This window comes from Homo sapiens, chromosome 3 (genome assembly GCF_000001405.40).
Source record: "Homo sapiens chromosome 3, GRCh38.p14 Primary Assembly".
Taxonomy (NCBI): domain Eukaryota; kingdom Metazoa; phylum Chordata; class Mammalia; order Primates; family Hominidae; genus Homo; species Homo sapiens.
The window spans coordinates 159,053,662-159,066,930 of NC_000003.12; the positions used below are offsets into that span (position 1 = coordinate 159,053,662).

The 13,269-nt window shown below is 39.6% G+C and overlaps 1 annotated feature.

Annotated features, from left to right (window-relative positions):
* Positions 8,990 to 9,523: an enhancer, noted in NCBI's record as "OCT4-NANOG hESC enhancer chr3:158780440-158780973 (GRCh37/hg19 assembly coordinates)". NCBI's record gives its function as "activates a minimal SCP1, AML or CMV promoter by ChIP-STARR-seq in naive and primed H9 embryonic stem cells {active_cell/tissue: H9 hESC(naive and primed)}" and the evidence as "EXISTENCE:reporter gene assay evidence [ECO:0000049][PMID:30033119]".

The following is a 13,269-nucleotide window of genomic DNA, read 5'->3' on the forward strand; positions in this document are numbered from 1 at the left end:
ATTTCGCTAATATTTTTCTTCTTTTTAGTTAAATAAACCAGATTATACCATGAATGAAAAGAAACCAGTCTCATATGCTATAAATATAAAATCAGATACAATAAAGATAAAACGGTCGTTAAATTCTAGCTAGAGACTTTGCCTTTGGAAGGCCCTAAACTTGAAGTCTGCCCTCTCTTCATTAATAAAGGAGATTTGCTGCTATTAGGGATGTGTAAAAGCTATACCAGCACCAAACTGAGACTTTCTTTTTGACTTTCATAGAAAAGTTAAAAAGAACATTGATAAGAAAATAATTTTCTTACTTTGAAATTCAGTCGTATTTAATACTTTTTGCCAACTTATCTACTACTTCTGCTAATATAGATCTCAAACTTTGGGACACATTAATTTAGTTTAATCTCTTTAGTTTTCAAACTAGAAAACCTAGATTCACAGAGATCAATATTGGACAAGACAGCACTAAAACCTGGGTCTCCTGATCCCAAATCTCTTCTCTGTGCCCTCTCTCCGTAATTAAAAACACATAAAAGTAGGATGCTTTTTAGACATAACCTGTCAATTTAGAATACGGCATATCTGAACTCTCTTGTAGCCAGTTATGGATGATGTCCTTGGTAATAGAGTGATCTCTGCTTTCCTGTATTTTGTTTAAGTGGATTTACTATTCCCTTTACGTATCTGCTTGCTCATTTATATGTCTCATTTGTAGTTAAACATAATATAGGAATTTGAATTTGAATTTTGGAGGTTCTTGAAATTAAGAGACTGAATTAAACTCAACTTCAGCAAATCAATGATAACCATAAGTACCATTCCCCTCCCTCTCTCCCTGACACTGCATGTGATGAAGTGATGAACAGCTGGAGTTTTGCTATTACCCTGGGAACAGTTTACTTTGACCTTGTCACAGTCTACCTGCTTGCTATTCCTAGTACAGTACCTCTTCTCATCAGAGAACTTGAAGCAACTATTATTTTATGCTATTTAAAATTAAAGCCACAGTAAGGTTTAGGACTATACCAAAGCAATACACTAGGGAGAGGGGGATCTAAGATATCATTTTTCTCAGAGACAATTCATCACATTTAAAAAAAGATGTTTTATACTTTACCTCATTGTGAATGAAAAAGAGCCACACAGTAGCCCAACGAGGGCAGATTTAAAATCACACACATTCTTTTGGGTTTTAGTTCAGTTTTTTTTTCCCCTGGAAATAAGAACCATATTATCCTATTTGAATCTTCTTGTTATTTTTTTATTACTCTTGTTTTTGGTTCACTTGTTTTATTGATGTTACAAACTATTCCTTCTAATTGTACAGTTTTATTTCCTTTTGTTGTAAGTGAATTTGTGATTAATGTCAAATAAATAGTGGTCTGAAGGCTTTAAAATGTTTGGCCTTTGTATTCATTTTTCCTTTCCTTTTTTTTTTTTTGAAGCCAAGTCTCACTCTGTTGCCCAGGCTGGAGTGCAGTGGTGCAGTCTTGGCTCACTGCTACCTCCTCCACCTCCCGGGTTCAAGCGATTCTCCTGCCTCAGCCTCCCAAGTAGCTGGAATTACAGGTGTGCACCACCATGCCTGGCAAATTTTTGTATTTTTAGTAGAGACGGGGTTTCACCATGTTGGCCAGGCTGGTCTCGAACTCCTGACCTCAGTTGATCCAACCGCCTTGGCCTCTCGAAGTGCTGGGATTACAGGCATGAACCACATCACCTGGTCTGTATTCATTTTCTGTTGCTGCTATAAAGTTACCACAGACTTAGTGTCTTAGAACAATACAAATTTATTATGGTATGTTTCTGGAGGCCATACATCCAACACAGGTCTCACTGGCTGAAATCAAGGTGTCCTTAGGGCTGCATTCCTTTCTAGAGGCTCTACGGGAGAATCTATTTTCAGCTTCCAGAGGCTGCCCACATTCTGTGGCTGGTGGCCCTTCTCCATCTTCAAAGCCAGCAATGGCTGGTCGAGTCTTCCTTACATCACAGCACTGTGACACAAATTCTTCCTCCCTCTTCCACTTTTAGGAGCCCTTGTAATTACATTGGGTTCACCTGGATTTTCCAGAAAAACTCCTTATCTTGAAGTCAGTCAATTAGCACACTTAATTCCATCTACAACCTTATTTCTCCTTTGCCATTTAATGCAAGATATTCAGTTTCCAGAGATTAGGATGTGGACATCTTTGGTGTCATTATTGTGCCTACTTCATTCTTTTCTTCAAAGCCAACTCTTTTTTTTTTTTCATTTATGTTTTCACTAAGAATGAAGCCATTGAATTTTATTTATTTTTTATTTTTTATTTTATTTATTTATTTATTTATTTATTTTTTATTATAGTTTAAGTTTTAGGGTACATGTGCACATTGTGCAGGTTAGTTACATATGTATACATGTGCCATGCTGGTGCGCTGCACCCACTAACTCGTCATCTAGCATTAGGTATATCTCCCAATGCTATCCCTCCCCCTCCCCTCACCCCACCACAGTCCCCAGAGTGTGATATTCCCCTTCCTGTGTCCATTTGATCTCATTGTTCAGTTCCCACCTATGAGTGAGAATATGCGGTGTTTGGTTTTTTGTTCTTGTGATAGTTTACTGAGAATGATGATTTCCAATTTCATCCATGTCCCTACAAAGGACATGAACTCATCATTTTTTATGGCTGCATAGTATTCCATGGTGTATATGTGCCACATTTTCTTAATCCAGTCTATCATTGTTGGACATTTGGGGTGGTTCCAAGTCTTTGCTATTGTGAATAGAGCCGCAATAAACATACGTGTGCATGTGTCTTTATAGCAGCATGATTTATAGTCCTTTGGGTATATACCCAGTAATGGGATGGCTGGGTCAAATGGTATTTCTAGTTCTAGATCCCTGAGAAATCGCCACACTGACTTCCACAATGGTTGAACTAGTTTACAGTCCCACCAACAGTGTAAAAGTGTTCCTATTTCTCCACATCCTCTCCAGCACCTGTTGTTTCCTGACTTTTTAATGATTGCCATTCTAACTGGTGTGAGATGGTATCTCATTGTGGTTTTGATTTGCATTTCTCTGATGGCCAGTGTTGATGAGCATTTTTTCATGTGTTTTTTGGCTGCATAAATGTCTTCTTTTGAGAAGTGTCTGTTCATTTCCTTTGCCCACTTTTTGATGGGGTTGTTTGTTTTTTTCTTGTAAATTTGTTTGTGTTCATTGTAGATTCTGGATATTAGCCCTTTGTCAGATGAGTAGGTTGCGAAAATTTTCTCCCATGTTGTAGGTTGCCTGTTCACTCTGATGGTAGTTTCTTTTGCTGTGCAGAAGCTCTTTAGTTTAATTAGATCCCATTTGTCAATTTTGTCTTTTGTTGCCATTGCAAAGCCAACTCTTTAGTAGGTGGAGTTTATGAGGTCTGGTTGTGATGTGCTTTTCAAATCACTGGTCTTTCCTGCTCTCCTCCAGTCTATTCTTTCTACCCAATCCCTGTATTTCCTTCTACGCAAAGCTTTTCAGCATGTAATTATGGACATAAGTCAACCTCAACACTTCCAACAGAGGCCTGAGAGCTTCAGTTATCGAAATAAGATTATATTCTACCTTGGTCTGACCTAATTTTAATTTGGGGTGGACTAATCTAAAATGATTCACAGATTATGAATCATTCATTGCACTGACAGATATTACAAGTTGTCACCTACTATGTGCAAAAGTGCTTTTCAAAGAAGTTAAAATGTATATTTTATATGCTTTCTGTTCTCAGTGTTAGGAAAGCAAGATGAGGAAATTAAAGCAACATAAGAATAATGTATTAATACAGATTGACAAGACAAGAAATGTCACAGGCAGCACATGATCAATGATTAATCGGCAAATCAGTGCAACAGGACATAAGAGTAATGAGTTCTGAGAAAGAACTCTTTGTGTTGTGTATACCCCTTGCCCCTATATTATCCATTACTACTTAGCTAACTCCATCAAACATGGCTCCAAATCTATGGCAATTCTCCATATCATCCTTAACCTGTCCTTGTAAAAGGAAAAATCTGATACCAGATGTAAATAGGGCTTAGAAGCTCATGGCCAGATTTGGAGAAATTATGACTATTCTCAGATATCAGTGTTAATAGGGCCATTTGCAGGAGGTGGTCAGCATAAAGTACTCACAGTGAGTCAGCAAATAGTTATTAACATGAAATGATACTGACTCAGCTTTTATTATTTTTTCCAAGTTGATAGATACTTTCCTAACATTTTGCTATATATTATTCAAATATTTTCATGACTTTTATTTGTTTTGGGAGGGGGTTTCAAGTTGTTATCTGCATTACTCAATTTAAAATCAATAGTGGATTTAATTGATATAATGTTTTCTAATCATTAATGAGTATTAAAACCCAGACTAATAGCATTTTAAGTAACATTTTCTGTCGAAGTATCTGAACCATTTTCTTTCACTCAAAACTTTGATTTAATTATGATACTGGTATTATTGTACATGTTCACATGGGATGGGCTCATTTGACTATAATTATATAACTTTAGTCCCATCCTAAGAAATTTACAACTATAGAAGGCTATTTTTAAAAAGGCTTTTTTTTGGCTTGTTAGTTTAAGATGAAAGGGCAGAATTTTTGAACCATATACTTTGTTCATTAGAGACTATTTACATCCCGACCTATTCTCTAGTAATCATGTTCTTCTTAGATGTGTATTGCTTTTGAAAGTTTTAATTAAACTGTTTTTGATATCTAAAAAGACTTTCCACAGAGTAATCCAATTCCATTGTCTGACTCTAATTTCTTGCCTCCCTAACACTGATATTTTCTTTCCATTATTTATAATTTAATTTTGTAACAACTATGATGCCTCAATTTTATTTTTGCTTATGTAATCTCCATATGAGTCTCAACAATCTTGCTAATGTAAAAAGCTGAGATGAGGAAATTCAGAGAGCAACTGGTTATTGAGTTACAGCTAGATCTTGTGAACCTATGGAGGCAGGTGAAGTAGGGGCTGTGATATGATTTTCTGTCTATGCACGCTTCCCCTCTCATCACACTGTCTCCTGTTTGAGTCTGCATCAATACCTTCAATTCATCATATCTCTTTCACCATTACTCCCATTTTGGTAACATTAAACTTCTTGACCAATGGAATTGTTTTGGCTGGCAGCAGATAATTAGGGATTCTCTATTTCTGGTCTCATTTTGTCACTGTTACTAGTGGCCAGTTATCATTAACATAGAGGCCACTTTATAAGCAATTTTGTTGTGATGCATATGTATATTGCAAACCAAGAAAACACAGGGCTAGCAGGAAGAGGGCTGGCCTGGTAGAGACTGGCTAGCTGCTTACCAAATTCCTTTTTCTCGTCTTTCGGCTGGACTGCATTTCCCAGGCTCCACTGTGGCTCCACGTGACTAAATTATGGACAATGAGTGTGAGCAGAAGTGATGTACCCCACAGTCCACCAGTCTGGCCCTATTACAAACCTCCTATATGTGATCCTCCATAATCTCTCCCTATCAGACACAAGAGACTGACAATGTGAGCCTGGGAGACACATGTTGAAGATGGCAGACATAATATGGAAGGAGCCTGGGTCCTTGAATCAGTGCTTGGAGGAGAGTCCTGTGGTGCCCTGGGGCACTGGTATAATAATTTACCTCAACAAGACATGTACTTCTTTTAAGTTTGAATCCTTGTTAATTCTGTTACAGCAGCTAAGTTTAACGTAATTGATACACTTGGGTCTGCCAAAGATATTTCTGCAGGCCTCAATTTCTTCTTTCATAAAATGAAGGAATTTGCCACATGGGCCTTCTTGCTGTTCCCCAAACACACTAGACAGTCAGGACTTCCGCACTTGCTGCGTCCTCTGCCTGAAAAATCCTTCTTCAGAAACTCACATGGACTGCACCCTCAACCCTCAGTCCTCAGCCTGAATGTGACCTTATCAGTGAGACCTCCTGTGGCCACCCTTAGGTATAATAACATTTCTCCCTTCCTCATCATTCCCTCTTCCTCTTAGCTTGCTCCAGTTTTTAAAAAATATATATAACACAATTGCTAAACAACTTACCTATGTATGTATTTGGCACTTGGTTAAATATTTGTTGAACAATTGCATGAGTGAAGTGCTCTCTAAGGTGACAAGCAGCTGTAAAGGATTATGTTTCCTAATTTCAAGATGTTGTAATCTAAGGAGAAATATAAAACAGATTACAAAAGACAAATCTTAAATACACAAATGACATATGAACTTTGTTAACATATTTCTAAATATATAAGGAAAAGAGAGATTCTAATAATTACTGGTGACAAGTGTTATACATTAAATTTTTCAAAATGTCATTTCATTTGATGACTCTACCAAGTCAGTATTATTGTACCCATTTTATAGATAAGGAAAGAGGTTTACAGGGCTGGAATGGAAGCTTCATGAGAGCAGGATCACATCTATCTTTTTTACTATTGTATCACTGGCATCTAGCAAAGTTCTGACAAGGTAGCAAGAAATAAAGAATATTAAGAATAAAAAGTAAAGAGTGGGTTAAATAGCTTGTCCATGGTGGGACAGTTGGCACTAGAACATACATTTGCCTGAATCTAAAGTCTGTGCTTTTTTTTTTACTATCTGAGAATGGCAAATATGCAGCGGTGTGGTCCCCTTTCTGATTCTGGGCTGTTGCTTTTTTCTGTTCTTCCTGGTGAAAGGCTGTCCCGTTAATGTCCTTATATCTGGGATGTTTCCATTCTTCAGGCATCAGTCTAACCATGACCTCAGTGGAATGGCTTTCTCTGACCCCTTGGTTGTAAGATTGGAAGTAGCTTTCTCCGGTTACTCTCTGTGCATCACCTGTTTATTGCCTACGTCACCTTCACAACACTTACTACTGTATAAAATTATCTTGTTTGCTTTTCAGTTGTCCCTCTACCTACTATAATGTAAGCTTTGCAAAGACAGTGACTTTTTCTGCCTCTACTCTGTGCATACTGTGTACCACATTGTTAATCAATAGGTGTGTGTTGAATAAATCAGTGAATCACTGAATAATTTGATCAATGTTGGCATTCACTCTTCCTGTGCTCGTGACAGGCATTACTAATCAATCATGACACTCTCTACTACTACATCCAAACTCATACTCAGAAAAATTTGTAAAATAGCTCTCTAGGCACTTGGAACTTGAAGTGTGGCCCGCTGATCAATAACATCAGCGTCACCTGAGAGCTTATTGGAAATGCTCGTTCTCAGGCCCACCCAGCTCTACTGTATCAGAATATGCATTTTAACAGGATCCCAGATGATTCCTGTGCACATCAAAAGTGTGTGCAACATCACTCACTCTAGGAATACATAATACTAGTCAGTGGGTTTGGCAAATAAGAGGAACCCCCTTTACCATCTCTGTGTTCTCCTCCATTTCACTTGTACAAAGATAGAACCCCAACCTTAGCATTATTGTGTGTTATCTGGAGTGATTAGTTCTTAGTGGGGTTAATGTAGAAATACTTTATAGAGAAGATGAGCATCAAGTGTTTAAAAAAATCGGTTTCCCCAGTTTGAGAGCTGCTAACTATGGAAATAGATGAACATTTTTGTGTAAAATTGAAAGAATCCCTGGTGCAAAGAATGGATGTAGGAGGAAGAGAAAGAAAAGTAGGTGCAGAGGAAATGCTAGGTTAGTGCAAAAGTAATTGCCATTACTTTTTATGGCAAAGACCACGAGGTTGGTGCAAAAGTAATCGTGGTCTTTGCCATTAAAAGTAATGGCAATTACTTTTGCACCAGTCTAATAGGATTAGGATCAAGGGCACATATGCAAAGAGCAAGGCTAGATAAGGTCTAGATGGAGAATGATATTAGTAGTTAAAAGCAAAAAACAAAAAAAACTTACTTCTCAAATTAAATGGGCAAACAAATTTGATATGAAGAAAGTTAGGTGCTCTTAGTGAAAATAGTTTTACTACATGGTAAAGACGCAGATTATAATCTGAGGATGGCAAAAATCAAGGCTTTAACAAAAAAGTTAATGGATAAATAGAACCATGGATATAGATTGTTTGCTCATCAAGTTTTACCATTAAGGGAATCACAGCGGGGAAAGAGTTCCCCTGGAAGGGTGTTGGGTTCAATAAGTACCTCCTTAGACCCAGGCATCCAGGATCCCTGCCCTGCCCTGACTCTGTATCTTAGAGGGCCTGGCTTGTGGCTTTCTCTGGTCAGTGGCTTTCCTTATGGTATGAAGGATTCAAGGAATCAAGAGGACATGCCCACTTGGAGTCTTTGGCCCCCTTTTTAGTGCGTGGTCCCGTAACTCAGACTCCAGAAGTCCCCGTGTAAGTGACTCTCAGGTTGTTTCCAAGGTCTGTGAAGACCTCTCTCCTATGGCCTGGGTCTAAAATCCTGAGGGTGTGAGTACATAACTAGTGTCCACATATCCAGGCCCACAGGGTGTGCAATGAGGGTGTTTGTGGGCATTGGATAGTGGTGTGAAGAGTAATAGACTTGTCTTCTGGATTGTCCATACACACGCCTGTGAGGCTCCAGCTATTGCAGGATGGAGGTGGGGACATGAATAGAAGGACGCTAAGCCAAGGGGGAGTGGTGGGAAGCTCCATCATTGCCCTAGGGCTAATATTGGACCCAGTGATGTTCTCAGTCCATTCTGTACTCCATGAATATTTTTCCCCTTAGGGGGAAGATATTTTCATAACTTATGAATTTAATTAATTTTGCTTGGATCTTCAGTTAAAGAAGTTGAATGATACAGAGCTGAATGCAGTATATTTACTGATTCTTCAAACATTCAGAAGGCACCACTATGGTATTACTAAATATTTGCACTCTCACTGCAGATGTGGGACAAATCAGAGTGCTATAGGGGAAGATATGAATTTGACTCAGTCCTTATTTCTAATTCACTTCCATTTTTAGAGAATGTCTTTTATCATGAGAGCCATTCATAATACACTAAAATTAACCACCATGTGATTGTACCATTTACAGTAACATCATGCTTGCGCCTGGCATCTGTGTTTGTCTCCTTGTTAATTCCTCAACCTTTCCATTTATTTTTCGTGTTCACAAAGGTTAATTGACATCGACTACTGTTTATATGAGGAATTCCTTGGTGAGTCTTAGTGGTGGCCACTTTGTAAGGTTTCAGTTCAGTTGAGCAGGAACTTTGATAGTCAATCTGCAAGGCTTTCTGTAAGCCTAGCACTTAATTGAAGTGTACTACCCCTGACTGGGCTGCATTGTCAGGCATGGGGGATGTTTGATGTTTTTGCTTTCTTTTTCATATGGCTTAATCCTCCATACACAGAGTCCCTCTTAGGGTTCTTATGGGCACTTTCCTTTTTGCTAGGACATTATGCTGATAAAACAGTAGTGATTTATTGGTGATGCTCTGATGCCTTGGGCTGAGGTTGGGCAGTATGGATACAATACATCTGTGTACTGCTTTTCACTTGGTATGCAAATTGGCATACATAATGTGGTTTTTACAGAACAACACTGTAAAGCAGGCAGAGCACTACTTCCTCCTACACTGGTCCCTCTGTAGCGATGGGAGACTTAAGGCTCTGGTCACAGTGGTAGGTGATGGAACAACAACCGAGATCCTTCTGACCAGTGCTTATCCCCTACACCGGTGGCACATGGATCCATTTCCGTTGTCATGAGGGTCAGTTGTGCCTGCTGTGGAAGCCCCCAGTGTGCTGTACAATCTGAGAATCAGTGAGCCACACAGATGTTACTTTTTGATTCTGAGTTGGTAATTGGCCCCTAGTTACTCACTTCCCATGCCTTAGGTTTCTGTGGGTGGTGTTTGCGCATTGCTCTCATTTATGTCCACTGGCTTGCCTTTCGAGGCTTAAAAGTATTGTCACCTGTTGTTGTCACTTAAAGACAAAAATATATTTGTCTTATAGCAAAAGGTATAGCCATATATATAGAATGATACATATGTGTGCGTATGTACTATATTTTCTTGTGATTTTTGTATTTATTATCACCAGCTAAAATTGATGTAAAAAGATAGGCTAGTAACAGTTTAGCCTACTTGTTCATGGTTTGCTGGGGGGAAGGGGAATCAGATCAATTTTCCCTTAGATGAGTAAGTGTTTAGGGTGGAGATGTCTGTCTAGCATGGCGCTATCACGCTCTCATAAAATCACCTTTTTATCCTTTGTCCTTTGGATCCAGAGAAATAACATCCATAGTGTCAGGGAAATAGGATTCACTATCCCCATCTAGCTTCCTCTTCCAAGTCCATGGCCAGTACCTTGGCTGAGGCTTCTCAGCAGATCCATGGTGGTCTGTCCCTCAGCCATCTGTGCCTGGGAAACATCTGTAATTGGTGGCCCCAAGGCAGTGCCAAAGCCTCTGGGGATGGGTGGACACCAGAAACATCCAAGTTTCCAACCCTTCTGCCTGACATGGCCTGCCAGCTTCTAACAGAATTCCCTCTAATGCCTCTGCTCACAGTATCAAGGGACTCCCAGATGAGCCTGAAATGGACATGAGCCTACCTCTGCCCATGCTGACATGAGTGTAGGCTTTTCAGGTTAATGGAAGAAACTGGGTGGCTTTGGAGTTCACTTTGTACAGCCCCTGACTGGTTTGATGAGCAGGGATTATCAACAATTTGCCAAGCAGCAAGCATGAGTTTACAAAAAACAAAACCCATAGGTGGAACAATCTTGCCAAACTGCCAGCTATGATATTCTGGGTTTCATTTAATTTTAAATCCATTTACCCCCAGGTGCAAGTGGCATGGAATTACAGTATGCCCTGTGGTCCCTCCCTGGATTTAGGTGTGTGATAGACATCTGCTGATCAGCACTTGTAGAAGCTGAATTCTTATCTAATGCTGTTTGCTGAGAGTCTTGTAGCCAAAGCCTTTTAAATCAAAGGGAATCATCAGAGAGAACAAAAAGTAATCCCCTACCCTTAAGAGGAAGGCCCTTATGCTGTTCCATTAACTGTCTGCCTTAAACATCTGAATGGTTTAAATAACTAGAGTGCGCTTGTCTCCCCGTCTCTGTCGTCATTAGGCAGGATAAGTTTAAACACACAAGTACACATACACACACATGCATACACGCTTCTGTGGGGATATAGCCCATGTCACTATTTGTCATTCATCACAGTATATGAGATCTCTGTTATGAAATGTTCTGTCTCCAAAAACAGATATTGCTTCTCTTTTAGAAAAATATCCTTGGCTGGATCCCTGGAACTTTAATTAAAATCCTTGTTGCTCTTTAAAAAATGTTATTGCATTTCAGACAGCTTGGATGTAAAACAGTGAAGCCAGGAACCAGAACGTTTTGCCGGTGGGATAAGGGACTGTGAACAGATCAAAGGGTTGCCTGGCCTAGCCTGAGAGGTCTCAGGAGACAGCTCCTGGGAGAGACCTGCCACTTAATGAGGGACAGACCATCAGCCCCCCAGGTTTAAAGGTAATTGTCTGAAGCAGTCACAAATTTTCTTCCATTTGTGCCCTTGACATTGTCTGGGTTGTTTTCAATAAAAAGCTAAGAAGATTATTATTAACTAATTAGTTAATTCATTTATGATTTTTGGTCATTTATGGCACTACTTAACATTGATCTCTTCAATAGACTGTGAACCACATGAGAACAGGAGCTACACCTGTTTGTTCACTGCCATGTCTCTGGCACATACCTCAGAATGTGGTAGTGAAAGTAGGTAGGCAATAAACATTTTTGGAATGGATGTAGAGGCCCATGATGTTCTGGATATGAAGGATGGGATATGAAGGTGGCTAAGACATAGTCCTTGTCCTCATGGAGCTTTCAGGCTATTGGGAATATCAAAGGTAATTAGAAATTTTGGTTATTAGGAGTTACTATTTCTTTAGTGACTTATGATGTGCCAAGTACTTTTCAGAGTTTTAACTCTCAAAGGAACTTCATAAGATAGGGTGTTTTTTTTTTCCTTTATAGAGCATGAAACAGTATGAGAGAATTTAAATGGTTTACCCAAAGACACATGGCTACTAAATAGAGAATGCAGTCTTTCAACTTGGACCTATCTGTCTCCAATAATCTTGTTGGTGCTACCACCTTTGAACATTTATCTCTTGGTGTTTCAATGTCAGGATTTTCTGCTTGTTCTTAATAGAGAACTAGAGGAGATTGAAAAACACATTTTTTTTTAAGTAAAGTTACTAAATGGTTTGCATTACATTTATTTGGTCAGATGAGCTTTGTCTTCATAAAATGGGAATGGGAATATCTATCCTATGCTTGTCCCACCATTGTAGTTTGGAAGTAGACAGCTCGTTTGATTGCATAGGCTCATGGCTGGAAATAATTTGCCTCATGATGTGTTATGCCTTGAGTCTCACCTGTATTTGATTTAGATGAGTCTCTGGACTTTAGATAAGACTGATGCTGAAATGAGTTAAGACTTTGGGGCATTTGGGATGGGATGAACATATTTTTCACTGTGAGAAGAACATAAATTTGGGGGGCTAGGGGTGAAATACTATGGTTTGAATGTGTCCCCCAAAAAGCACGTGTTGGAAACCTAATCCCCAATGCAACAGTGTTGGAAGGTGGGGCCTAACACGAGATGATTAGACCATGAAGGCTCTGCCCTCATGAATGGATTAATGCTGTTATCACCAGAGTGCGGTCATAAAAGAGTGAGTTCAGTTCTCTCTCTCTCACTGTCTCTTGCCCTTCATCCTTCCACCATGTTATGATCAGGAAGAAGGCCCTCACCAGGTGTTAGCCCCTTGATCTTAGACTTCTGAGCCTTTGGACCATGAGCTCATAAATATCTGTTCAATATAAATTATCCAGTCTCAGGTGTTTTGTTATACCAGCATAAAACAGACTAAGACAGTACCTGTGAAGGTTAGACTCTTCCTGAGTGAGTGAAGGTAGTGCTGAGTGCAGGGCAGTCAGGTGGAGTGGGGGAAGCAGAGTGAACCCTCTGCTCTGAGCTATTCTGAGCTTTTCTTATTTTTACTGTGGATGAGCTTGCAGGATGTAGATCAGGCGGTGTTGACAGTTTGGGCAGGGGGCAGGCAGACCAGCTGTGGAGGATGCTGTGGCCATATTCTTCTCTTATGTTTCTGAGGAGAGACATGGGACACTCTGCCACCACCAGAGATTTAGGAATAGAGCTGTTCTTGTGGGCACTGAACCCCCTCCTCAGGTTCTTACACTCATTTGAAGAGGATCTGTTGTGGTGGAGCCGGGCGGTAACCAGGCTTCTGGCAGCATGTGACCCC